The sequence below is a fragment of the Homo sapiens genome, chromosome 4 (genome assembly GCF_000001405.40).
Source record: "Homo sapiens chromosome 4, GRCh38.p14 Primary Assembly".
In the NCBI taxonomy this organism is placed as follows: domain Eukaryota; kingdom Metazoa; phylum Chordata; class Mammalia; order Primates; family Hominidae; genus Homo; species Homo sapiens.
Genome location: NC_000004.12, coordinates 39,249,917 through 39,277,603, shown reverse-complemented (window position 1 = coordinate 39,277,603; position 27,687 = coordinate 39,249,917). Strand labels below are relative to the sequence as shown.

The 27,687-nt window shown below is 42.3% G+C and overlaps 1 protein-coding gene across 9 annotated transcripts in view; it reads right to left on the bottom strand.

The window, feature by feature from the left end:
• Positions 1-27,687, bottom strand: part of WDR19 (WD repeat domain 19) — a 103,282-nt gene that overhangs the window by 8,207 nt on the left and 67,388 nt on the right. For 6 of the 9 annotated variants that reach the window (XM_011513724.2, NM_025132.4, NM_001317924.2 and 3 more), the window contains 10 exons: positions 24,312-24,458; positions 23,574-23,698; positions 21,644-21,756; positions 20,050-20,118; positions 11,464-11,541; positions 9,513-9,609; positions 7,504-7,628; positions 4,543-4,624; positions 2,646-2,796; positions 461-584 (listed from right to left, as the gene is read on the bottom strand). In XM_011513724.2, coding sequence (XP_011512026.1) covers positions 461-584; positions 2,646-2,796; positions 4,543-4,624; positions 7,504-7,628; positions 9,513-9,609; positions 11,464-11,541; positions 20,050-20,118; positions 21,644-21,756; positions 23,574-23,698; positions 24,312-24,458 — 1,111 coding nt within the window. Of the gene's footprint in view, positions 1-460; positions 585-2,645; positions 4,431-4,542; positions 4,625-7,503; positions 7,629-9,512; positions 9,610-11,463; positions 11,542-20,049; positions 20,119-21,643; positions 21,757-23,573; positions 23,699-24,309; positions 24,459-27,687 lie in introns of those variants that run through there. The other 3 variants (XM_047416031.1, XM_047416032.1, XM_047416034.1) reach the window with 2 other exon arrangements.

Below are 27,687 nucleotides of genomic sequence, written 5' to 3'. Positions count from 1 at the left end.
TTACCTGAATTTAGTTTTCTTTAAAATAAAGCTTAAATTAATCCAGTGAATTATAAATAACCTGATATGTTAAAGTTCTCTGATACTAGGTCTCAATATTATAATAAAAACTACTGCTTATTAAGTGCTGCAGCCTGCCAGGATGGCACCAAGGAATTGTGTAGCTCGTCAATCTGTGGTTGATTCAGTAGGCAGGTGTTACTACAGAGGACTGAGCCCGGGATAGTCTGATCCCCGAGTCTGTGCTATTTGGTCCTGCAGTGATAGTGCCTCCACTATTATTATTTGCTTTGAATATCACCTTTAACTGTATTGACTATGAAATAAAATGCTAGATGTTGCAGGAAATTTGAGGGATAAGATTATTTTAAAAGTGAAGAAAATATTGACATACATCAAGTATTCAAATGGGTTACAAATATATATGCAAAGAAAGGGAAATTACTATAAAGGAACTCACTGTTGCAATGCAATATGGGATACTGTTTTTACATCCAGGACAGAGGAGTTCACACTCTGGGAGAAGAAATTTGCAGAATGGACATGGAGTCGTGGCCTCTTCTATCTCAGATATATCGGGTCTCCTGTGAGGAAGAATCATGTCATTTAAAAATGCCGTTTTATTCATGTACCGGGGATGGCAAAGAGAAAGCATATTTGGAAAACCAGGGACATATGACACACCTACTTCATAGTCAGACTCTGGGCTTAGAGAGATACTTACAAGCTCACACCAGCCCTTGATCCACTCCAGGGAGGAGGAAGAGTACCTAGGATTGGTTAGGTTCTAGGGTGTTACATGGGCCACCTTTGGGAACTGGAGTTCATAGCACATTCAACGGCAGAAAGCATGGGTAGGTCTTGCGGTCTTCTCTCTTCCTGTGCTACTGGAGTGGTGAGCTTGGTATTTTCCCTCTGTCTCTCCCTTTTGTGTAACAGAAGTGGTACAAGTTATACCAGCACCGTCCAATAGAACTGTCTGTGACAATGGAAATGTTTGGATTCTGTGCTATCCAATATGGTAGCCATGAGCCACATTTGAACACTTGAAATACGGGTAGTGCGAAGAACTAAGTTTAACTTTTATTCCATTTTAACTAAATTTAAATAGCCACATGTGGCTAGCAGGTACCATATTGGACCACATAGCTATAAACCATTTGTGCATGGGGAGAGAATGACTAGCATCTCCTCCCAGCCAGAGCCCCAGCTAGCGTGGTTCTATGCTGTTGGGGTAAACATGATCTTGCATTTTCTAGTTACCTTCTCCCCATCCCACTCTCCATACTAGCAGGTATTCTGGGTCAGACCGATTTGGTCTGAAGCTACTTAGACTTAAAAAAAGGAGTATTCTATGTACTCCCATCCAGCTTAGAGCTCTCTGCCATGAGGGTAGCTCCCAAGCCCAGCTACCAGTGAAGTGTCATTTGCTTCCATTTGTCATTACCAATCCAGTCATCTCCCTGGGCTAAGGTCTGGATCCAAGATTCAGGTACCTGGGTCTCGTCATAATGTAATGAACAGGAACCCCACATGTCATCACTTCTGAAAAAGTGGTTGTTTAGAATTACTCTATGACTGCAATGACTTTTTTCTTTTCCAAATGCAAGGGCTACTTTTTCCTAGTTTTTCTTTAGAAAAACCTAGAAAAACCAGGCTACTGACTGCTTTCTGAAGCAAGGACGTGCCTAAGGGCTTTTGGGGCTGCACAGGATTTGGAAATGAGCTCTCTGCTGGCAGTGGGCCCTGTGAATATGAAGTTCCTCACACTGAGAGGAACTTCCACTGAACGTCCACTATTTTCTTCATCCCTCTTTGGCAGACATAGTTCGCTGCTTCTCTCCATCTCCTTGCCAACAGAACTTTGTTTCCACTTAGCAGCCTTAAGTCCTGTGAGGCAGAGTACTGGCCATGGAGGTGAAAATTGAAGGTCCTGAGGATGGTACCTTTCTGAACAAAAAGGCGAAGATCCCTTTGACCTCTCATTTCCCTACTTCTTCCTGCCTGGAACGAGGACATGATGTCTGGGGGTGTGGCAGATGTCTTGCCACCATGAAGAGGAAACCTCTATGCTATGGATGTCAAAGCTGGAAGACGGGGATCTGGTCTGGTGGCATCAAGGCACGGTGACACCAGCTCTGGACTGTGATGCCTTGTGTATGAGTCAAATAAATACTGACTTGATTAAGCTGCTGTTAGGTTTTCTGATGCTTAGAGCTAAATACAATCCTAATTGATATGCCCATCTTTTTTTTTTTTTTTTTGAGATGGGGTCTCACTCTGTTGCCCAGGCTGGAGTGCAATGGCACGATCTCGGCTCACTGCAACCTCTGCCTCCCGGGTTCAAGCAATTCTCCTGCCCCAGCCTCCTGAGTAGCTGGGACTACAGGTGTGCACCACCACGCCCAGCCAATTTTTGTATTTTTAGTAGAGATAGGGTTTCATCATATTGGCCAGGCTGGTCTTGAACTACTGACCTCAAGTGATTTGTCCACCTCAGCCTTCCAAAGTGTTGGGATTATAGGTGTGAGCCACTGCACCTGGCCCCCCACCGTTTTCTTATTGAGCTTGCACACTGGCAGCTACATTTTTGGAAATACTTTGAGAAATACGATTAGATAGCAGAAATAGCCATCTCTGCCTACCTGACCATTCCCTCGATCTTCTTTTTGTATTTGGCATCTATTTTGCTGCGGTATTCAGGCCTCATCAACATAGCTGCGAAGCTGAAAGCAGAGTTCTTCAGGCCTGCCCTGTGACACTCAATCACAGTTGACGTCAGGATGGGTACAATGTCTGCAAGAGAAAAGGGGAGAGCAGCAACAGCACAGTGTCTGCTGTCCTCAGTGATACAGGCGGGATTCCACCCTGGTTCTGTAGGAAAACAGGGTCATGGTCTCTGAACTTTGCTTTTTCTGCAAAGAACCAGATATGATCTGTTTAATGAGGAAAGTACGTAGCTGTGGGGTCAGGCTAACTGCCCATCAAGTGCTTTTCCTTTGATGACACCATGTTCTGCCTTGTAACACTAGGACCTGCACCCCTTGAGGCAACACTTCCATGAGTTTCCTTTCATGCCTCTTAGATATTTTTTGCATCTGACAGGACTGCTGATAAAAGCATTAGGGGGATTAATGACTTTATACACTAATCTCTCTGCAGGCATCAAATTCTTTCTTCAGGACAGACACCCAGAATTACCGGCTCAAAAACAGGACCTTTTAAAAAATACTCTTACCACAAATTGCCAAACTGCTTTCTGCAAAGGCCATACCAATTTCCATCCCCACCAGCAGTCATGAGAGTGCCTGTCCTATCCCATACCTTGCCCGCATGGTAGACTTTGATGTAACAACAACAAAAATACACTTAGAGAATGTGGGTTGGCCAATTATGACCCATGGACCAAATCTAGCCCTCTGACTTTTTGTATGGTCCATGAGCTAAGGATGATTTTTACATTTTTAAATGGTTGAAAAAACATCAAAAGAAAAATATTTTTGTGACATGTTAAAAGTGTATGTGGTTAACATTTGTGTCCAAACATAAAGCTCTATTGAAACACAGTCATGCCCATTCGTTTACGTATTATTCATGAGAAGATGGCAGAGTTGAGCAGTTGTGACAGAGGCCACATGTCTCACGAAGTCTAAAATATTTAACATCTGGTCCTTTACAGAAAAAGTTTGCTGATCCCTGTCATGTAATGTGACAGTATTTAATCACTTAAGAATGTTATCATGACATGTCTTTTGGAATAGTGAGGCCTTTTCAGAGGCAACGTCCTACCGTGCTTGTGAACACAGAGTCAGGCTATTATTAGCTGACAATGTGATCTTGGGCAAATGTTATTTCTTTTGTCCCAGTTTGTTCAGAAAAGTACTTGTGTGTGCAGGCCTGAGACTGTCATCCTTGGAAAGGCTTGAACAGCTAACCCTCGGCTCGCATCTGGAACATAGATTTGGAGACGGTTCCCACCGTTTCCAGAACTGATGAGTGGCTCACCGTGCCTAAAATCTTTGTACAAACAACGTGGTTTATGCCGAACACCTGCTCTCTGGGAGCCTGGAAAACTGGGCACATGCCACGCAGGGGGCACCTATGTGACCACACCCCAATAAAACTCCTGGCTGCTGAGTCTCTAATGAGCTTCTTGGCACTCTACGTTTCACCATGTTGTACAAGTCAGTCGTGGAGGAGTTACGGAACTTGCGTCCTGTGTGCTCCACTGGGAAGGGACTCTTGGAGGTCCGTGCCTGCACCTGCTCGCCTTTGCGTGAATCCTTCTGCTCATTTTGCCTCAGATCCTTTTGCTGTGATAAATCTCGGCTTTGGTACTACTGTGTGTTGACTCTTGTAAATCCTCCCAGTGAAGAGTCATCAAACCTGGGAGTGGTCTTGGGGCCCTGACATACCACTTCATGGAGCTGCTGTGAGAATTAAACGAGTTAGTGTATGAGGGGAGCCTGCAAAAGGGGCGCTGGGCTAGCATGCGGCATGGGGCATGGGGCATGGGTGAGAGCTCTGGTCAGTGGTACTTACGTGATGGAAATTTGCTGATGTTGTTGGCCACCCGAATGAGCATGCGAGCCCCTTTCATGTGATCTCCATTTTTAACATGAATCTGAAACAAATGACATATTTTACTCTTCTTATAGTCATTGATTAGCCCCAATTCATGCTTTGTTCCCCCAAATAAACAACTCCTTGATGATGGCCCAGGGTCACTGTGGGATCCTTGTAGACTTTCCTGGCTGATGCCATTAGAGATCCCTCCACTTTTTTCTCTTCAACAGCTACTGCCTGGCCCCATGGCCTCACCTACTCTATGCTCTGCTTTTCACTTTGCCCTAGACCACTTGGTATGGGTTCAAATCCCCAGTCTATCTCTTACTGGCCATTCTTGGGGGACCAACTTCACCAAGTTCTGGTAAGACCCAAAAGCTGTGTGAGTCAGGAATCAGGTAGAGAGAGAGAGAATGATCTGCTAAAGGAAAGGCGCCGTGTCTGTGCTAAGAGGGCAATGACGGGCAGAAGGCCTGAGACTGGGCAAGGACCAGGAGGGTCAGTGACACATCGAGGGGTGCGTTTAGGATGGGGTGAGCCTCGAGAGTCAGCAGGGGCCAGGACATGAAGCCACTGCAGTCATCCAGGGGTGAGACAAGGAGGCCAAAAAGGTGGGGCAGTGGGGATGGAGAGAAGCAGACAGATGTGGGGTCAGGGCTGAGGATACTTGGTGAGAGTGTGGAATGATGCCAACCCTTGGGGCCAGAGAAAAAGAAAAGGACTCAAGAAGCACCCCTGTGGCTTATGGTGCTAGAAAGCTCTGTTGCAAGAGGGCCTCTTATAGGAATTCCTATTTTTGCCCCGCATCTTTCACCAATGTGTTTCTGTGCCCCCTGCACTCCTAAAGACTCCATTTTGTTAGATTCTGTGCTTCCAGGACATTGAATCACCACTCATGTCTGCAGCTGAGAAAGACTTCTCTCCTTCAAACCCCCTTCTTTATGGAAGAAGGATCCTCCTGCCTCTCTGAAGGGAAGTGTACTCCTGGAGGTTGCAAGTTATAACTCCAGATGCATTTCCCTTAGAATCAGCATTATAGACCTGTGCAGTCTCCTGTGGTAGGCATTAATCACGTATGGCTACTTAAATTTAAAAGTTAAAATCATATACAATTAAAAATGTAGTTTATCAGCTGTACTAGCTGCATTTCAAGTGCTCCATAGCCAGGTTAGTGGCTACCATATTGGGCAGTACAGTATAGAATAGTTCTATCACTGTAGAACATTCTACTGGACAGTGCTGATATAGACAATAATTAGGATGTAAATCATTCATAACATGACTGCTCTTGTGGACAGGTCAGAGAACCAATTTAGCATTAATACGGAAAGATGTACTGCGACATAAATGAATATTTGAAAAAATATGTAAGTTGGAGTCTGCCTGTATCTTTACAGAGATATGTATATATATAAATGTACACATGAATATACATGACATTTATGTAAGTTGTATTGTGTCTTTTTTTAGAGTTGAGGTCTCGCTCTGTTGCCCAGGCTGGAGTGCCATGGTGTGATTATAGCTCACTGCAGCCTCAAACTCCTGGGCTTAAGTGATCCTCCTGCCTTGTCCTCCCAAAGTACTGGGATTACACGTGTGAGCCACCATGCCCAGCCTCATTTATGTAAATTATACATACAAGTACTTGATGTTTGCAGGATCTATTTTTGTTTGTATTGATAATTACTGATTTAAAAAACAGAATATACACAACTAAACATAATCCCAATTTGGTAAAAAACATGCATTTATAGAAGTACAAAGAATATATACAACACTATTAACAATTGTTATATCTGGGTGATGGACTTAAAGGACGAATTTTTAAAAAATTCTTTTCTGGCCGGGCACAGTGGCTCACGCCTGTAATCCCAGCACTTTGGGAGGCCGAGGCAGGTGGATTGCCTGAGGACAGGAGTTCGAGACCAGCCTGGCCAACGTGGTGAAACCCCATCTCTATTAAAAATACAAAAAAATTAGCCGGGTGTGGTGGCATTTGCCTGTAATCCCAGCTACTCAGGAGGCTGAGGCAGGGGAATTGCTTGAAGCAGGGAGGTGGAGGATGCAGTGAGCCAAGATCGGGCCACTGCACTCCAACCTGGGTGACAGAGTGAGATTCCATCTCAAAAAAAAAAAAAAAAATTCTTTTCTATATTTTTTAAACTTTCTTAGGGAATATGTATTATTTTTATATTTGGATGAAAACTAAACAATATTTACAAAACAGTGGAATTTTATGAAATCCACTAACAGAATAAATAAACTAACAAGTTTTGCATAAAGAAAGATGTTTTAAGTAAATCTATTTTTCTGGCACAGGCAATACATTTACATGTTTCAAAATCAAAACAATATAAGAAAGCTGAGCGTGGTGGCTCATGCCTGTAATCCCAGCACTTTGGGAGGCCAAGGCGGGCGGATCACTTGAGGTCAGAAGTTTGAAATCAGCCTGGCCAACATGGTGAAACCCCATATCTACTAAAAATACAAAAAAATTAACTGGGTGTGGTGGTGTGTGCCTGTAATCCCAGCTACTTGGAAGGCTGAGGCAGAAGAATTGCTTGAACCTGGGAGGCAGAGGTTGCAGTGAGCCGAGGACGTGCCACTGCACTCCAGCCTGGGTAAAGAGCAAGACGTCGTCTCAAAAACAAAACAAAACAACCCACACACTATAATAAGATGCACATGATGAAGCCTGGTCCCCCTCATCTCCCCGTCTCCCTGTCCCCACACTGGAGTTTGGTACTGTGCCTCCTGCCCCGTGCCTCATTCCACACAAAGCAGCGTATTGTAGATATGTTCTGTATCTTGTTTTGTTACTTAACAATACAGACATCTAGACAATCACTCGAATCCAATGGAGAAGGGCCTGGAGAAAATCTCAATGGGGGACAAACACCTGGCAGGTTATGTCCCAAGTCACTCCATGGGCCTCACCTTTACTAGTATATAGCTGTGCAGAATCATGAGGTTGGTGGCCATCTCGGAGGGAATTTTGATCTTCTGGGATTTCAGTTCTGCATACATACTGAAGAGAACATCGTGTGCATTCCGGTAGTTGCCTTGAAAAAAGGTGGTAAAACGACATTACTGCAAAGGGTGACATCTGAGGACATTCTATGGACCCCCATCTTACTAGTGGATTTTGTTAATCTTGTTATTAGTAATCTCTTAATAATGTCTTATTCAAAGCAACTCAGCAGATTTCCTATTTATCTGTCTGTCTGTCTGTCAGAGATAGGGTCTCGCTCTGTCACCAAGGCTGGAGTGCAAGGGCACAATCTCTGTTCACTGCAACCTCTGCCTCTCAAGCTCAAGTGATCCTCCCATGCCTGGGTAATTTTTGTGTTTTTTGTAGAGACAAGGTTTTCACCATGTTGCCCAGGCTGGTCTCAAACACCTTGGCTCAAGAAATCCACCCTCCTCGGCCTCCCAAAGTGCTGGGATTACAGGCATGAGCCATTGTGACCGGCCAGATTTCCTATTTTAATTGATGTTATGAACATCTAGCCAGTTGCTCTGGTGAAAAATGGTGGTGTCCTCCTTGATGTCTTACTCTTCCTCAGGGCACCCCCCTGGCCCTGAAGTCCACCAGGCCATGGAGTTCTGAGTATAACTCTCAGTCTCCCAATTCCAGCCTCCCTTCCCATGCCTACTGTGAATGCTTCTCATCATTTCCTTCTGCTGTAGTGCTCATCAGGATTGCTCTGGGCCCACATCTGATGTCAGAGTATGCCTTCAAAACCCTCAAGCCTTGATCCACACCCAAACAACTCAAGGTCACACCCCTGCATAAAACCCTCCAATGGCGCCACTCACGCCTGGAAGTGCAAATTCCTGAGCAGAGGACTTGTGCCCTTCAGGATCGGCCTCTGCGCTCCTTTCTGGCCTGATTTTCCCTCCCTTTCTTCTCCAGGTGTGTAAATGCTGCAGCCTTGCCAGCACTTTTCCTCATCCCAGCACTTCCCCACCTCCCCATTTCCCCAAATCCCAGCACTCTGGCTCCCAGCAACCTCCACTCCCCTCGTCACCTGCTCCCCCATCCTTTCAAAACTCAGGTAAAGCTTTCATTGCCTTCTCTCGTCTCCATCCTCCAACTCTCCCTACCCCAACCTTCAGGATGCTGTGGGTAACCCAGCAGTCGCTCTTATTTTAATTGTGCCTTTTCAGCCTATTTCTCTTTCTAGTCTGGCACTTGTCATCCCGTCCAACTCTGAATTTACTTTCTGTCTCTCCCATCAAATCATGACCTTGAGGGTTGAACTGTGGCTCAGTTCTCTCTGTATCCTGAGCTCCTAGCACGCATCTGACAGGAAGAAGGTGTTGTTAGATCAACGTAAGCTGAATAAAGTAATGACTTATTTGACTGCATATTTTCCAAAATTGTGTCCACATTTATAAAGATTTAAGAAGATCAGCTCATAAAAATTAATGAAGATATCAGACTAATCCTCTTACTCACTCAATAAGTATTGACAGAGCACATGTGAGCAGAACCATCCTGAAGAGTCTATCAAGCCTCTGCATATTATAAAGAACTAGGTCTGTAACAGCACCGCATCATTACCCTCCATCGCCTAATGTCTCATATTGTTAAGGCCAAACACAGGGAATGGAAAGAAAATGCCGTGAGACTGTAGGAAGGGGGTTGTGGGCTGGAGGGGTGAGAGGAGACATCATTCATGAGACAGAACCTCTGAGGTTGTGGGGGAGAGGAAATAGCACTTGACAAGAGATGGTCTTAGTCTCTTACATTTATACAGTCTCCTGGGATAGTACATTGTTTAACCCCTCTGAAACCTAGAAATGGTCATCTCTTTAGTCTTTTGGGTTCAAAGCAAGCCTATGTTACAAACGTAGGGGCTACTCTTTCCTACACAGAAAAGGGGCTGGGGCTTGATTCTGCTGCCTGCTTGGGAAGTAACACATACGTATCACGGACCTACCTGCAGACTGCTCTTCTCTGGCAATGATGATGGCAGTCTGGGCAGCTTCTCGGTATTGCTTCAGAGCCATGTACAAGCGGAACAGGTACTTGGCATCCTGACACATAAACCATTATAGAAACATTACTTTCTTCATTAGCTAAGGGGAGATTACATTTTTGTATTGCAGTTAGAATCACATTCATCTGCCAGTAACTGAGAATTGATATTGCTTTAAAAACTCAATGAATAAAGAATTCGTTTATTTATTAAACATTTATTCAGAGCTCAATATGGCCAGGTGGTATTCTAAGTACTTGAGAAATACTAATGCATTTAAATCCTCATACCCACCCTAGGAAGAAGGCACTATTGTTATCCCGATTTCACAGATAAGAAGCTGAAACAACAGGAGGGGGCCAGTCAGGATTTGAACCACAGGATCTGAGTCTATTCCTGACCCTACTCCACAGAGTATTTCTCATGTACTTGGAAACAAAATATATTCTTACATGATATATGAACTTTGCAAACTTTCCATAATTTTTATATGCATATCAATTTTCTCTGACCTATAACATTTTCTTTGGCCTTTGGCCATTTTCCATTCCTATTCCAACTCTAGACAGCTGCGAGCATCTGACGCTGGTTTTCAAATTATTGGAATAAGTGGACACCATGGGAGGTGGCTGGAGCAGTTGAAGGGCCTGTATCCTTTGGCAAGTTAACTGAGCTGCTCTGGGTCTCTGTGGCTTTATCTGTAAGATGCAGAAAATGGACTCAGGGACCACTACGGTCCTCTCCAGCTGTGACATTCTATTGCCCTCGTTTCCAATCAGTGACTTGAGTTCTTCACCAGCAAATCTCCTTGAACATAAAGCAAAGGGGAAGGAGGTCTGGGGCATTCTCAAAGGTGTGTGGGTCTCTCCTCACCAGGACTGGGAGAAGATGGACGTTCTGTAGGAAGCCACAGTGAGTCGCATATTTTGAAAATATGCTTGTAATGATTTCTTTCTTACTTTTTCTTTTTGAGATGGAGTCTCACTCTGTCGCCCAGGCTGGAGTGCAGTGGCACAATCTCGGTTCACTGCAACCTCTGCCTCCTGGCTTCAAGCAATTCTCCTGCCTCAGCCTCCTGAGTAGCTAGGACTATAGGCGCATGCCACCATGCCTGGCTAATTTTATATTTTTTGTAGAGACGGGGTTTCGCCATGTTGGCCAGGCTAGTCTCCAACTCCTGACCTCAAGTGATCCACCCGCCTTGGCCTCCCAAAGTGCTGGGATTACAGGCATGAGACACCGCGCCTGGCCAATTTATTTCTATTTTATGTTATAGAGAACTACCTTTATGCTTAATCTGATTTTTGTTAACTTCCATAATTTTTGAAATGTAAACAAAGCACCCTCTGAGTTTTAGAGATGAATGCTAGGTCATAGTTGCAACATCAGTGATCTTTTTTCATAGTTCCTAGAATAAACAAAATTATAACATTTGAGAAAAATTGTATGTGGTGAGGATTGTTATCTAGAGGGGCATGGCTATCTCATAGGTGGCAAAGCCAATTTTAAAGAGTGAATATACGTTATCCTCCAAAACGCAGGGTCTGTCTAGATCAACTTGTCCAACCCACAGCCTGCAGGCCACATGTGGCCCTGGACAGCATTGAATGCAGTCCAACACAAATTTGTAAACTTTCTTAAAACATTATGAGTTTTTTTTGCGATTTTTTTTTTAAACTCATCAGCTATTGTTAGTGTTAGTGTATTTTATGTGTGGCCCAAGACAATTCTTCTTCTTCCAATGTGACCCAGGGAAGCAAAAAGATTGGACGCTCCTGGTCTAGATGATCTACACTACTGGCAGAGAGAAAATTTTTCATGTCTATGTTGTAAAAGCATGATGGGTAAAAACAGGCAGAATCAAACTGTAACTGAGACCTGAGGATGCACACGAAGCCCACGTGTTCAGTACCTTAGGCATGCCATCGTTCTCCCCCAGGAGATGGTCTATCAGCTGATTGGTCAGCAGTTCATCTTTGGCCTGACCAACCTGTTTAATAAGAGAGAAAAACCCAGCAAATTCAGCATCTTAAACCGAGCAAGAGTGGAGAAAAAGACAATCTTCTGCTTAGGGAGATGGAATAAAAAACATTAATAGTATCTATAGTAAAGTGCCTGAAATATGACATAGGATCAGGGCCTTTCTTCATTTGTTGCTAGAGTCTCCATTAATAAAAATCCATCCTTAGAAGCTTTTTCTTAGCTGCTGTATCAAAATACCATATTTTCTTTCACATGCACAGAGAATGTACTTCTTGGATTTTTTTTTTTTTTTTTTTTTTGAGACAGAGTCTTGCTCTGTCACCAGGCTGGAGTGCAGTGGCATGATCTTGGCTCACTGCAATCTCCGCCTCCCCGGTTCAAGTGATTCTCCTGCCTCAGCCTCTCGAGTAGCTGGGACTATAGGCATGCACCACCACACCCAGCTAATTTTTGTAGTTTTAGTAGAGACGGGGTTTCACCATGTTGGCCACGATGGTCTCGATCTCCTGACCTTGTGATCTGCTCGCCTCAGCCTCCCAAAGTGCTGAGATTACAGGCATGAGCCACTGTGCCTGGCCCTTGGATGTTTTAATAAAAACTTTCTTAAATGACTATGACACCTTGAGGACAGCATCTTAAGCACAAGCACTGACACAACGGTATCATTCCAGGGGCCCTCCTCTGCAGCGGCTCCCTGAGGAAATGTACTTGCGCATGACTACATGTCATTGAAAGTGTAAAGAAGTGAGGGTCCCAGCCAGGGGAGCCTGGACAAGAGCAAGCAGCTGAAACATGGGTGGGGTTCTGGAGGGAAGGCTGGCTTAGAAATCTTTACTTAAAAGTCATCTCCAGGCCAGGCACGGTGGCTCATGCCTGTAATCCCAGCACTTTGGGAGGCTGAGGTGGGTGGATCACTTGAGGCCAGGAGTTCAAGACCAGCCTGGCCAACATGACGAGATCCTATCTCTCCTAAAAATACAAAAATTAGCTGGGTGTGGTAGTGCGTGCCTGTAATCTCAGCTACTCGGGAGGCTGAGGCATGAGAATCGGCTTGAACCTGGGAGGCAAAGGTTGCAGTGAGCCGACATCCCGTCCCTGCACTCCGGCCTGGGCGACAGCGTGAGACTTTGTCTCAAAAAAAAAAAAAACGTCATCTCCATAAAGGCGAGTTAAATCACTGAAGTATTGGGTGGTGTTGAGCAGGAAAAATAATGTACCACATTGCAGGATGGGCATGTATGAGTTTAATAGGAACAGAATGTGTGAGGTCAGGAATTTAGGGGAGGCACTAGGGAATTACTGACAAAATTAGGAGGCTTCAGAATTGTGTGTCTATTAAAAAGGGGTGAGCCAAAAACACACCTGGAGCTCAGCTTAGGGGAAGGAACACTGAACAGTCTTGTCATGGTAATGACATTACAATGAGAAAAGCCACTGGAAAATGGAGGAGATGATCACTGGGGACTCAGCCACACATGGCCTTGCTTGCTACACCTCAGGGGAGGTATGAGGACAAGTCTGCAAGTTATCTGTCTGGCAGAGGAAGGATGCAATCAGTAGACTTGAGTAATAAAGAGATGACCCTGAACCTGCAGGTGCAGAGGCTCTCAGGCTGCAGGATTTCTGCACACTGCCCTGCCTGTGGTCATCGTCAGGGGAAAAAGCTAGGCTTTCACCAATCTGTGTCACCTCTGCTCTTGCCACTTCGGTAAAGCAGGGACGTTGGTACATAAATGAGAGCTTGTTCTCTTGATGGCTTCTGTGGATGGCTTTGGGTGAATAAGCCAGGACAGAGAAATGGTTAAAGCAAAGGCTCTGGAGCCAGCCTGCTGGAGGTCAATTTAGTGACACTACTTGAGACCCATGTGATCGTGGGCAGATTACTCTTGGGGCCTCAATATGGGCAATAATAGCACCTAACTCACAGAACTGTTGTGAGGATTAAATAAGTCAATACATGTACAGGGCTTGGACAGGTGCCAAGTAGACAGGACTGTCAAATACAGACAATAAAAATACAGGATTCCCAGTTAAATTTAAATTTCAGAGAAGCAATAAGTAATTTTCACTATTACATATGCAAAATGTGGCTACTCCACTGCTAGGGTCAGCACTCAGTAGGTGTCCCTATTTTTTTTTTTTTTTTAGATGGAGTTTCGCTCTTGTTGCCCAGGCTGGAGTGCAATGGCATGATCTTGGCTCACCGCAACCTCCACCTCCCGGGTTCAAGTGATTCTCCTGCCTCAGCCTCCCGAGTAGCTGGGATTACAGGCATATGCCACCACTCCCGGCTAATTTTACATTTTTAGTAGAGATGGGGTTTCTCCATATTGGTAAGGCTGGTCTCGAACTTCTGACCTCAGGTGATCCGCCCACCTCAGCCTCCCAAAGTGCTGGGATTACAGGTGTGAGCCACCATGCCCGGCTGTCCCTATTGCTTTTATCACCAGCAATAATGGCAGCTGCCCCCAGGGAGAGTGGAGCACACTTGAAGTGTCAGGACAGACAGGCAGACAGGAGAGCCAGCAGGGAATAGATGTGGCCAGGCAAAGGCAACTCACGGCAGGGTGCGGATGGAATGCTGAGGGGCACTGGCATTGAAGGGGCAGAGGGGCCAGGGAAGGAGGCTGAGAAGGGACCATCTGAGAAGGAAGTGGAGAACAGAAGATGCAGTGTTCTGAGGGGAAAAATGTCCAGAAAGACGTAGTATAATAGGGTAAAATGTGACCGTAACATGGAGTAGGGTGAAGACTGAGACGAGACTTCTATATTTAGCAAGTGAGAGATCTGTGGGGACCTTTTCAAGCAAGTTCATGGAGTGGGGAAGGCAGAAGCTGAGTGCAAGGAGGTAAGGAGGACTCTCCCAACTCACCTGAGGGACACCAGTGAGCCCCACCTTCCCCATCATCTCCCAGTGAGGGGCCTCGTACTTCCCTTCCCCCTCCATAAACCAAGGAGGCATTTCAGAGCCTTGAGGTGTTGAGGATTGGGGGTGGGTGGGCGTGGGTGAAGCACAAGCATTTTGACGATGTACCCAGTAACTCAGGGGTGTGGCTTCTGGCTGCGAATCACCAGGTGAAAGAGCACACAGATTGTGAGAAAATGCAAGTCACGAGTAAAAGTGATTTTTTTTTTCCCCAGGGGAAGGTCCCCAAGAAAGAAAGAAATGGAGGATTGGGAAGGAAACTTGTATCATCTGTTTTCACTGAGCTGGGGACCAACATGTGCTCAATTCAACAAATACTGAGTGACTGCCATGTGCTAAACACTCTCTTGAAGAGATGGGTTCCGGACCTTGAGGAACTTGTAAATCTGAAGGGACTTACTATAGCAATAAGTGACATTCAAAGTGCTTAGACCATTCTAGGGAGGGTGAAATTTCATCCCGAGGACAGTTTAGGAAAGGCTTATTGGGTAGGGGTATGAGATGCAGAGGTGCAGCGGGAGGGGTGTTTTAGGTGTAAGGAGCAAGAGTGAAGGAACGAAGGAAGCGGAGCCCTGAACTATTCAAATAAAAGAGGGCAGTTTAAGGCTGGGCACTGTGCTCACACATGTAATCACAGCACTTTGGGAGGCTAAGGTGGAAGGATCACTTGAGCTTAGGAGTTCAAGACCAGCCAAGGCAACATAGCAAAAACCCATCTCTACAAAAATAAAAAATTGGCCGGGTGCGGTGGCATGTCTGTAGTCCCAGCTACTTGGGAGGCTAAGGTGGGAGAATTGCTTGAACCCAGGAGGTCGAGGCTGCAGTGAGCTCTGATTGTGCCACCTGGGCAACAGAGAGAGACCCTGTCTCAAAACGGGGGGAAAAAAGTGGCCAATTTAGTTGTAGCACAGGCTGCTGACCTAAGAGGAGTGTAAGAGGTAAGTGGGAAGGAAAGGAAGCTTTGGTTTTAGTCCCAGATCAATTACTTTCTATCTGGGTGTCTGTAGGTTAGTCATATCATCTTCTGGCACCTCAGTTTCCCCATCAGTAAAGTGAAGAAGGTTAGACTGGTTCACTTCCAGGTATTTCTAATATTTTATGATCCATGAAGGATAATTTGGGAATGAATTGTGGAGGCAATGGGGAGCCACTATAGGTTTTGCAGCTTGAGAATAAAATGACTTGCAGCTGCACTTGAAAAAAAATCCAGTAGTAAAATTCAGAATGGACTTGTCTGAATGAAGTAATCCCAGCAATAAGTACAAATATGTTGGTTTCACTCACTACATGTCCTTGGCCTTAATAAAATTTAACAAAGTCCATTAGAAACACAACAATGAGAAAGTACTGTGGGATTACAGAATACTAATGAAAGGAGAGAAATTTGACAGCTGCAAGGGACATCCATAATTTTGTCTAATATTCATTCCTTCAGCTCTTCTGAGAGATGCTTCTACTTCACTTCAACCATGGAGTTCTAGTGGAAATTCCATGTCTTAACAGACCCCATCTCCATGGCTACTGAACTTTGTCTAGTGGTGGGAATTTGACCCAATTTGCCCAGGCATGATATTCCATCCCTGTGGCCACCAGTTGATTAAACCTGCAATGGACACTTGAACTACCCAAATCAGAGCCCTTCTGGACTTATTAATTAAAGGCAAGTCGTCTTCTTCTTCTTCCAATGTGGCCTAGGGAAGTCAAAAGATTGGACACCCCAATCTAAGTAATAATCATCAATGGTTGCTGAGATCATTAGGTGAAAAGTTGATGGGAAAGCTTATCATAGATTGATCAGGCTGACCACACCTACACCCAATAATCAATCTTAACACCATAAAAAGAGAGACCAGGCCGGGCGCGGTGGCTCACGCCTGTAATCCCAACACTTTGGGAGGCCAAGGTGGGTGGATCACCGGAGGTCAGGAGTTTGAGAACAGCCTGGCCAACATGCTAAAACATCCGTCTCTACTAAAAAATAGAAAAAAAAAAAAAAAAATAGCCGCGTGTGGTGGTGGGCAACTCAAGGGGCTGAGGCAGGAGAATCACTTGAACCCAGGAGGTGGAGTTTGCAGTGAGCCAAGATCGTGCCACTGCACTCCAGCCTGTGCGACAAAAAACAACAACAACGAAACAACAAAAAAGAGACCAAAAAAATATGGGCTATTATGAACTGTTTGTGTCCCCCTACATCCCCCAAATTCATCTGTTAAAGCCCCAATCTTCATGTAATGATACTTGGAAATGGAGCATCTGGGAGGTAATTAGGGTTAGATTGTAGCCTTAAGAGGAAGGGAGAGAAATCTCTCTCCTTGCATACATGTACAGGAAAGGCCACGTGTGGACACAGTGAGAAGGCTGCTGTCTGCAAGTCAGGAAGAGAGCCCTCATCAGGAACCAAATTACTGGCACCTTGATCTTGGACTTCCCAAACTCCAGAAGTCAACCAGACTATGGTATTTTGTTATGGCAGCCCAAGTTGATTTAAGATATGGCCCTACTAGGCTGGGTGTGGTGGCTCATGCCTTTAATCCCAGCACTTTGGGAGGCCAAGGCAGGCAGATCATTTGATGTAAGGAGTTGGAGACCAGCCTGACCAACATGGTGAAACCCTGTCTCTACTAAAAGTACAAAAAAATTAGCTGGGTATGGTAGCACACACCTGTAATCTCAGCTACTGCTGGAGGCCGAGGCAGGAGAATCACTTGAACCCAGGAGGCAGAGGTTGCAGTGAGCTGAGATCGCACCACTGAACTCCAGCCTGGGTGACAAAGTGAGACTCTGTCTCAAAAAAAAAAAAAAAGAAAAAAAAAAAAGATGTGGCCCTACTGCTGTGATGAGAATAGGAAGTACACGGTACCATCTATGAAGTTGTTTTTACAGAAATATCATCCATATCTGATCAAGTATCTAGATTTAACTACTAGTTAGTGGGAAATACAGGGAAATTATACCACAAGGATGTAATTAGCTAAATCAAAATGTCAGAAATTCCTCAGGATAAATGACCCATTTTCTTAACAAATAAATAGCAAGTATGCGTGTGGGGGCGGTGTTTAGGAGATATAGAGTTGAAGAGAGAGAGAGAGAGAAGGAGAGAATAAGGGAGGGGAAGGGAGATGAAAAGAGACTTAAGGCCCATATAAACTAAATGTAATACATGAGCCTTGTCTTGATACTGAGGTGAACTAAAAACTGTATGAAAGCATTTATGCAAGAGTTGAAGAAATTCAAACCCTAACTAGATAGCTGACAATATCAAGGAATTGTTGTTAGAAAAACTGGAACCCTCACACAGTGCCTGTTGGAATGTAAGTGGTCAGCTGCTTCAGGAAACAGTTGGACAGTTTCTCAGAATGTTAAACACAGAGTTTACATATGGCCTAGAAATTCCACTCCTGAGTAATACACTTAAGAGAAATGAAAACTCACACACAAATGTTAATAGCAGTATTACTCATAATAGCCAAAAAGAAGAAACAACAAATGCCCACCAACTGATGAATAAACAATGTGTGGTATATTCATACGATGGAATATTATTCAGCCATAAGAAGGCATGAATTCTTGACACATGCTACAACATGGAAGAGCCTTGAAAACATGACGCTAAATGAGAGAAGCAGGCACAAAAGGCCACATATTATATGGTTCCATTTATATAAAATGTCTAGGATAGGCAAATCCACAGAAACAGAAAGATTATAATATATAATACATATAGTAATCAAGACAATGGCGTATTGGTACAAGGACAGACGACTAAAGCAATGGAAAAGACTAGAGGATCCCAAACCAGATTCATACCACATGGTAATTTCATTTATGACAAATGCTCTGTGGCAATTCTGTGGTGGAAAGGATAGTATTTTGATAAATGGTGCTAGGTCAACAGGATATCCACACTGAGAAGAAATATCCTTGACCCCTACCTTACACCATATACCTAATTAACTCGGGATGGGCATAAGCCTAAATGAGACAGATAGAACAAACTACTAGAAGAAAACGTAAGGGAAATATTTTCATGATCATGGGATAGGCAGAGATTTCTTTTCTGTTTTTTTTCTTTTTTGAGATGGAGTTTCATTCTTGTTGCCCAGGCTGGAGTGCAATGGCACAGTCTCGGCCCACTACAACCTCTGCCACCTGGGTTCAAGTGATTCTCCTGCCTCAGCCTCTGAAGTACCTGGGATTACAGGTGCCCGCCACTATGTCCAGCTAATTTTTGTATTTTTAGTAGAGATGGGGTTTCACCATGTTGGCCAGGCTGGTCTTGAAGTCCTGACCTCAAGTGATCCACTGCACCCAGCTTAAAATTTCTTAATGGGACCAAAAAGCACTAACTATAAAAGATTCATGAGTTGGACTTTATTAAAAGTTAAGAATTTATGTTCGTCAAGAGAATAAAAAGGCAAGCCATGCCTTTGAAGATTTTTGCAACATATATCTGACAAAAAGACCTGTATTTAGAATACTATGACCTAATAATTCTACTCCTGGATATATACCCAATAAAACTGAGGGTTTTTGTTCACCAAAAGACATGAACAGCTTTAGTGCAGCTTTATTCCTAATATGCCCAAACTGGAGACAACTCAAAAGTCCATTAACGGAGTAAGGGGTAAATAAATTGTAGTACAGTCATATAGTAGAATACTACACAGCAATGAAGAAGAATGACCTATTGCTGGGCTGGGTGCAGTGGCTCACACCTGTAATCCCAGCACTTTGGGAGGCTGACGTGGGCAGATCACGAGGTCAGGAGTTCGAGACCAGCCTGGCCAACATGGTGAAACCCCGTCTCTACTAAAAATACAAAAATTAGCTGGGCAAGGTGGCAGGCACAGGTAATCCCAGCTACTTGGGAGGCTGAGACAGAAGAATCGCTTGAAACTGGAAGGCGGAGGTTGCAGTGAGCCGAGATTGCACCACTGCACTCCAGCCTGGGCAAAAGAGCGAAACTCTGTCTCAAAAAAAAAAGAATGACTTACTGCTATGTGCAATAACACAAACGGACACATTTGCATACATAATGCTGACTGAAACTGGACATAAGAGGACACATGTGTGATTCTGTTTCTATGAAGTTTATACACAGGCAAAACAAATCTATAAGAATATAAGTCAGAATTGTGGTTACCTTTGGTGGGGGATATTGACTGGGGGGTGACATGTGGAGACTTTTGGGAGCTGGAAATGTTCTATATCTTGATCTGGGTGGGGGGTACACAGGTATGCATAGAGGAAAAAACTAATCGAGTTGTACACTTAGGATTTGTGAACTTTACTGTATGCAAGTTACACCTAAAAGAAAATCCAAAGGTTCTTATCTTTTAGACACTGATATTGTATCCACAAGTGAAATGATATGGTGACTGTGATTTACTTAAAAAAAAAACCGGGGAAAGAGGGTGAGGGTATGAAAAAAATGAGGCTGTCTATGTATTGACAGCTGTTGAAGTTACACGATAGGTATGTAGGGGTTTGTAATACTGTTTGGTCTACTTCTGCATATATTTAAAATTTTTTTCAAGAAGTTTTTTAAAAAATTGGCATTATTGAAAGTTTCATTGAAAGCGTACTTACAGTTTCAATTGCCATTTCTATTGCCACATTATCTTCCGAGCTTGGGCATTTCAGGAAGTGTTTAAGTGCCTGAAAAGCGAATTACAGCAATTAAAAATTTTCAGAATGTTTTCACATTAGGGAAAACAAAGCTTTCACACAGCTTTAACACAAAGTAATTACAGTCTGTGAAAGTATCTTCATCTCAACCAGGGGCTTGCATGGTGTTGGATCTTAAATATGTCCTTAAAAGCTGGATATAGTTTAAAAAATGGAAGGACCCAGTTAACCCTCTGAAGAATCTAGTCCTGATGAAATGAAAAGGCAAAATGTGCCCTTTTCAGTAGGAAGATTTAATTATTTTCATTCATTTATTCTTTCAACAAATAGTTACTGACAACCTGCTACTATGTGTGTGGGACTTCGCTAGATCCCATGGAGAATACCAGGAATGGTATGGCACGGCCCCTATTTTCTGTGTTATGTACAGTCTTGCTAAGAAGATCTGTGTGATATGATGATAATATGAGACCGATTATTTTAAGTTATAATTGTCTAATTCCTGAACACCGTAACACCACACTTAGGAAGAAATTTACAACTATAAAAAGACAAATGGACTGGATTGTTAGTGTTTTTTTTTAATAGGTGCTCTGAGGAAGAAAAGATGGTTTTGCATGGAGATGATCCTGAAGGTGTCACTTGAAGGACAAATAGGTTTGTGGTAGGTGGTGTAGAGAGCAGAGAGGAACCCAGATGGAGAACAGGATGGATGAAGGCCTGGCTGTTAGAGGAGTGTGGGACTCTTCCATGGAAACAGCTGGGTGCCAGATTAGGGAGTTCTGGCTGGTTGGTCAAACTATGGAAATTTCTCTTAAGTGCCAGCTAAGGAGTTTGGACTTTATCTAAGAGGCCAGCAACAACAAGTTGGTGGTGGCCTGTAGGCTGAATTCACACACAGACATGTTTTTTTTGGCCAGTGAGGTATTCTATAAATATTGGGGCACATATTTCAAAACTGGCAGCCCCAAGCTTCCGTTTCTCTTGAAAAAATCGTATGATCTGGCACTACAGGGCCTGGATTCCTAAATGACAACAACTTTATGGAGGTGAGAAACAGCTGGCTTCTTAAGACATGTGCCATTCAGTAGTCCCTACCCTGTCACATGAACAAAGCGCAGCTTTACCCCATAGCTTCACTTATGATGTCCCTTCTTTGGACACTGTAACCCCTGCCTTAGGCCAAGGGGCTCTGTAACAGTGAAAGCAACTATTATTTGGGGAACAAAGTGAAGGATGACAAACTCTAAAGGCGGACAAACTAAAAACAGGAAAAATAAGAAACTACTGCAATAATCAGAAGCAAGGTCATCTGGGCCTGGATTGAGCTGACAGTAGTTAGAATGAAAGTGACAGATGTGAGAGGTATTACGAAGGAAGGTTGTGACTGGGTGTGGGAGGGAGAGGAATATTTCAGAGTTAGCTCTGAGATTTCAAATCTGAGTGGGAGTTACTGGCATTTACATATATTTCCTACAATTATTCCTGGCATTTACGTATATTTCCTACAATTATTCCTGCGGAGTCAGTGTATATTTTCTTGGCAAATACTAACTCGTGAATATTGGCCACACAGCAAGAAGAATTTTCCAGCCTGAAGATATCTCTTTTCTCCTTCAAAGTATAAGGCAATGCTTTGATAGTCTTCATTAGTAGTGTCTTCAGAACCTGTAACAGAAGTTTACTGAGTAAAATATCTGAGCAAAATTTGTTTACCTTTTATTGCTAACCTGAAAATAAAATCTAAAAATAGGTGATTAAAAACTCTTAACAGCAAACATCAATGTAATTATTAATGTCTGTTTTCATCACAAAACATACTTATCACAATTACTCCAAATAGTAACTCTGTTCCATCTTTTTTTTTTAACTCTAAATGTGAACCAGGAGAGGAAATTACAAGGTTTTTGTTAGTAATACAAATGGAATGCATACCTCTCAGCAATGCCTGGTTTAAACAATAGTCTGTATATTTGTCAGACAAGTAGGGAAGATGACATTCAAGTAGCCAGTAGATGCTGGTTAAAGATATGACTGTCTTTCCTTTGGCTTGGGGCTTAAATATATTAAGCATAGAGGAAGAAGGACCCCAAAAGCTACTGGAATTCCAACTCATTGTTTACATTTACCCGTGGGAGTTGGGGCCCAATAGAATACTAAAGTATAACAACCATGCTGCGCCTCCAGCTGGAGGAAGAGGGAGTTTATAAGAGAAAGGCATAAAGCAAAGTGGGGAAAAGTATGTGTGTGTTTTGAAGGTGGGAGGAGGCCCACACACCCCCCACCAATATACACATCTTATATAAGACAAACCATATTCTTACAAACTTAGAAAAACTGCTTTAGTGAAATGGTGGTAGTAATGTTAGGACAGAAATGTCATCTGTCAAGTTAAACATTGGCAATTCTAAAGTTGCCTATCTGTACTCCTTTTCTTTTTTTTAACTCTGTTTTCTCTAATTATCTTAATAACTTTGCAAGAAGTCATTTGGGAAGCCAAAGCATCCCAAGAAGCTTTTACCTAATTAATTTGTTTCCTTGAAGACTGAAATAAATATTTTCTTGTGAATCCTAACATCAATTCTTATGGTCATTTCGTGGATTTTAAAAAACAGAATAACACAAAAAGAACAAATATTTTATGATTCCACTTATACGAGGTACCATGAATAGTCAAATTCACAGATACAGAAAGTAAAATCATGGTTACCAGGGTCTGGGGGAAAGAGGGCAATGGGGAATTATTATTTAACGGGTACAGGGACAGTCTGGGATGATGAAAAAGTTCTAGAGATGGACAGTGGTGATGGCCGCATAACAACGTGAATGAATGTACCAAATTATACACTTTTAAATGGAAATTTTATATTATATATATTTTAGCACAATAAGAAAACAAAACAAAACACAAATAACATTATGTATGGTCCATGAAATGAAAATCTGAAAATTATTTCAGTAGTTTCTAAAAATAATTGCAAACATGAGAAGAAAACCTCTAAACAGGCATTCTCAGAATATCAAATTATCCTTTGGACTGTCCAAATCTTTGAAAAACACATCTTGTGTATATCACTGTTCACCAAAGTAAGCATTTTTCTTAATTTGTAACTCAATTTTTTAATGAAAATATTTACATTTTCAAAAATCATCTTGCATTTCCTATCACCTTCATTTTGAAATCTTTGATTTACTACTGGCTGATAAATAGCAGGATTTGGGAAATCTAGCCTCTCTTGGAATTCACACAGAAAAACCCTTAATTTTTGAAAATAGTCCTTTTTAATAATACCATCTCACCTTGAAGTAGCAGGGATCTTCAAATCCAACACATAACATAGATACATGTGTGTCTATGTATAAATGGTAAACATTTACACCAGGCGCATTCTTGTATGTATACCAATCTGATAATTAGATCATAAGAGACAAAGTGTTTTTATGATAAACATCTTGAAGAGAACCAGGGAAAAAATGATATTTACCAATAATATCTGCATAGATTTCCATTTTGTTGTGTTGCTGAGCCAGTGTGAAAGCTTCATTGTTGCATTTGGACATGACAAGAAACTGGATGGCAGACCCATAGTCACCAAGCTGTAGAAAAAACCTAAAGCAAAGTACTTTAATTAGCTAGACTCTTAATATAAATTTGTGATTTACAAAATTTTTCAACCAGGAGAAACCATTTAAAAATCAAAATTTTTAGATAAATTGCAGTTCTTTTTTTTTTTTTTGAGATGGAGTCACACTCTGTCACCCAGGCAGGAGTGCAGTGGTGCAATCTCAGCTCACTGCAGCCTCCGCCTCCTGGGTTCAAGCGACTTTCCTGCCTCAGCCTCCCAAGTAGCTGGAACTACAGGCATGCACCACCACACCCAGCTAATCTTTTGTATTTTCAGTAGAGATGGGGTTTCACCATGTTGGCCAGGCTGGTCTCAAACTCCTGACCTCAGGTGATCCACCTGCCTCAGCCTCCCAAAGTGCTGGGATTACAGGTGTGAGCCACCATGCCCAGCATGCAGTTCTATATTATATGCTTACACTTGAAAGACATACTCTTGTCTGCTGACCACGACAGCCTTTGAATTTAAACGCTTAGACCTGATAAAAAAATAAAGACTAAATATTCCTTTTGAATTAATATATTTGATGATAGAAGGCAGAGGCTTACTTTTATGGTTAGTTTTTGAAAGTCCAAAAATATTAATGTATTATGTTACCTGGCTACCATTTTGGCTCCATCCAGAGACTGGGTCTCTCTAACAATATTGACAGCTTTTTCAGGATTATTGAGGTGATCCAGATAGATGCGGATTACACTTTGCCACTGTTTTGCATTTTCATAAGCTACAACAGCTTCTTTGTATCTGTAAAAAAATAGCTCAGATAAACTTTTTTTAACACTGTCAATTTGGGGAGAAAATGTTGATAAATGTTTAGGACACTTTTAAATTTTATTGATGGTGACTGCTTATTTTTCCTGAACTTCTTTTTCCTTTATCAGAAAAATACCAGGAACCATCCCACTAAAATGTTCTGTTTAGGAATTTGATAAATGAACAGTAAAATATCAATATTAAATTGTATTTTCCCATCTGAATCAAAGCTATATATTTTTAAACATTTTACTGTTTTTTTCCTTTTAAGTAGGAAGATTATAATAGTAATATAGAAAATGTAGATTTTTTTCACAATTATAGATACAGCTTAATGTTGATATATAAAACCTTTATATATCCTTAGTCACAAAGCTCAAACTTTAGTGTTGACCTCTAGATAGAGCTCAGGACCCCTCTTCAGTTCCTGACCAGCTCTCAGCTCCATTTCAACAAGACATTCAGTGTATATCTCTATTTCCTAAGGTTACTTTTCTAAAAGTATTTAAAAGGGTATTAAATCTCCTTTAAAAGTTCCTTAATAGATATTTCTAAGTTAATTTCCAGAGGCTATAGAAAGTTACACTTCTTTAAAAAATTTTTTAATTTTTTTTTATTATTTTTTATTATTATACTTTAAGTTTTAGGGTACATGTGCACAACGTGCAGGTTTGTTATCTATGTATACATGTGCCATGTTGGTGTGCTGCACCCATTAACTCGTCATTTAGCATTAGGTATATCACCTAATGCTATCCCTCCCCCCTCCCCCCACCCCACAACAGGCCCTGGTGTGTGATGTTCCCCTTCCTGTGTCTATGTGTTCTCATTGTTCAACTCCCACCTATGAGTGAGAACATGAGGTATTTGGTTTTTTGTCCTTGCAATAGTTTGCTGAGAATGATGGTTTCCAGCTTCATCCATGTCCCTACAAAGGACATGAACTCATCATTTTTTATGGCTGCATAGTATTCCATGATGTATATGTGCCACATTTTCTTAATCCAGTCTATCATTGTTGGACATTTGGGTTGGTTCCAAGTCTTTGCTATTGTGAATAGTGCCACAATAAACATACGTGTGCATGTGTCTTCATAGCAGCATGATTTATAATCCTTTGCGTATATACCTAGTAATGGGATGGCTGGGTCAAATGGTGTTTCTAGTTCTAGATCCCTGAGGAATCACCACACCGACTTCCACAATGATTGAACTAGTTTACAGTCCCACCAACAGTGTAAAGGTGTTCCTATTTCTCCACATCGTCTCCAGCACCTGTTGTTTCCTGACTTTTTAATGATCGCCATTCTAACTGGTGTGAGATGGTATCTCATTGTGGTTTTGATTTGCATTTCTCTGATGGCCAGTGATGATGAGCATTTTTTCATGTGTTTTTTGGCTGCATAAATGTCTTCTTTTGAGAAGTGTCTGTTTATATCCTTCACCCACTTTTTGATGGGGTTGTTTTTTTCTTGTAAATTTGTTTGAGTTCTTTGTAGATTCTGGATATTAGCCCTTTGTCAGATGAGTAGGTTGCAAAAATTTTCTCCCATTCTGTAGGTTGCCTGTTCACTCTGATGTTGGTTTCTTTTGCTGTGCAGAAGCTCTTTAGTTTAATTAGATCCCATTTGTCAATTTTGGCTTTTGTTGCCATTGCTTTTGGTGTTTTAGACATGAAGTCCTTGCCCATGCCTATGTCCTGAATGGTATTGCCTAGGTTTTCTTCTAGGGTTTTTATGGTTTTAGGTCTAACATGTAAGTCTTTAATTCATCTTGAATTAATTTTTGTATAAGGTGTAAGGGGAAGGGATCCAGTTTCAGCTTTCTCCATATGGCTAGCCAGTTTTCCCAGCACCATTTATTAAATAGGGAATCCTTTCCCCATTGCTTGTTTTTGTCAGGTTTGTCAAAGATCAGATAGTTGTAGATATGCAGCATTATTTCTGAGGGCTCTGTTCTGTTCCATTGATCTATATCTCTGTTTTGGTACCAGTACCACGCTGTTTTGGTTACTGTAGCCTTGTAGTATAGTTTGAAGTCAGGTAGTGTGATGCCTCCAGCTTTGTTCTTTTGGCTTAGGATTGACTTGGCGATGCAAGCTCTTTTTTGGTTCCATATGAACTTTAAAGTAGTTTTTTCCAAGTCTGTGAAGAAAGTCATTGGTAGCTTGATGGGGATGGCATTGAATCTATAAATTACCTTCGGCAGTATGGCCATTTTTCACGATATTGATTCTTCCTACCCATGAGCATGGAATGTTCTTTCATTTCTTTGTATCCTCTTTTATTTCACTGAGCAGTGGTTTGTAGTTCTCCTTGAAGAGGTCCTTCACATCCCTTGTAAGTTGCATTCCTAGGTATTTTATTCTCTTTGAAGCAACTGTGAATGGGAGTTCACTCATGATTTGGCTCTCTGTTTGTCTGTTATTGGTGTATAAGAATGCTTGTGATTTTGGCACATTGATTTTGTATCCTGAGACTTTGCTCAAGTTGCTTATCAGCTTAAGGAGATTTCGGGCTGAGACGATGGGGTTTTCTAGATATACAATCATGTGATCTGCAAACAGGGACAATTTGACTTCCTCTTTTCCTAATTGAATGCCCTTTATTTCCTTCTCCTGCCTAATTGCCCTGGCCAGAACTTCCAACACTATGTTGAATAGGAGTGGTGAGAGAGGGCATCCCTGTCTTTTGACGGTTTTCAAAGGGAATGCTTCCAGTTTTTGTCCGTTCAGTATGATATTGGCTGTGGGTTGGTCATAGATAGCTCTTATTATTTTGAGATACGTCTCATCAATACCTAAATTATTGAGAGCTTTTAGCATGAAGCGTTGTTGAATTTTGTCAAAGGCCTTTTCTGCATCTGTTGAGATAGTCATGTGGTTTTTGTCTTTGGTTCTGTTTATATGCTGGATTACATTTATTGATTTTCGTATGTTGAACCAGCCTTGCATCCCAGGGATGAAGCCCACTTGAAGCCCACTTGATCATGGGGGATAAGCTTTTTGATGTGTTGCTGGATTCGGTTTGCCAGTATTTTATTGAGGATTTTTGCATCGATGTTCATCAAGGATATTGGTCTAAAATTCTCTTTTTTCGTTGTGTCTCTGCCAGGCTTTGGTATCAGGATGATGCTGGCCTCATAAAATGAGTTAGGGAGGATTCTCTCTTTTTCTATTGATTGGAATAGTTTCAGAAGGAATGGTACCAGCTCCTCCTTG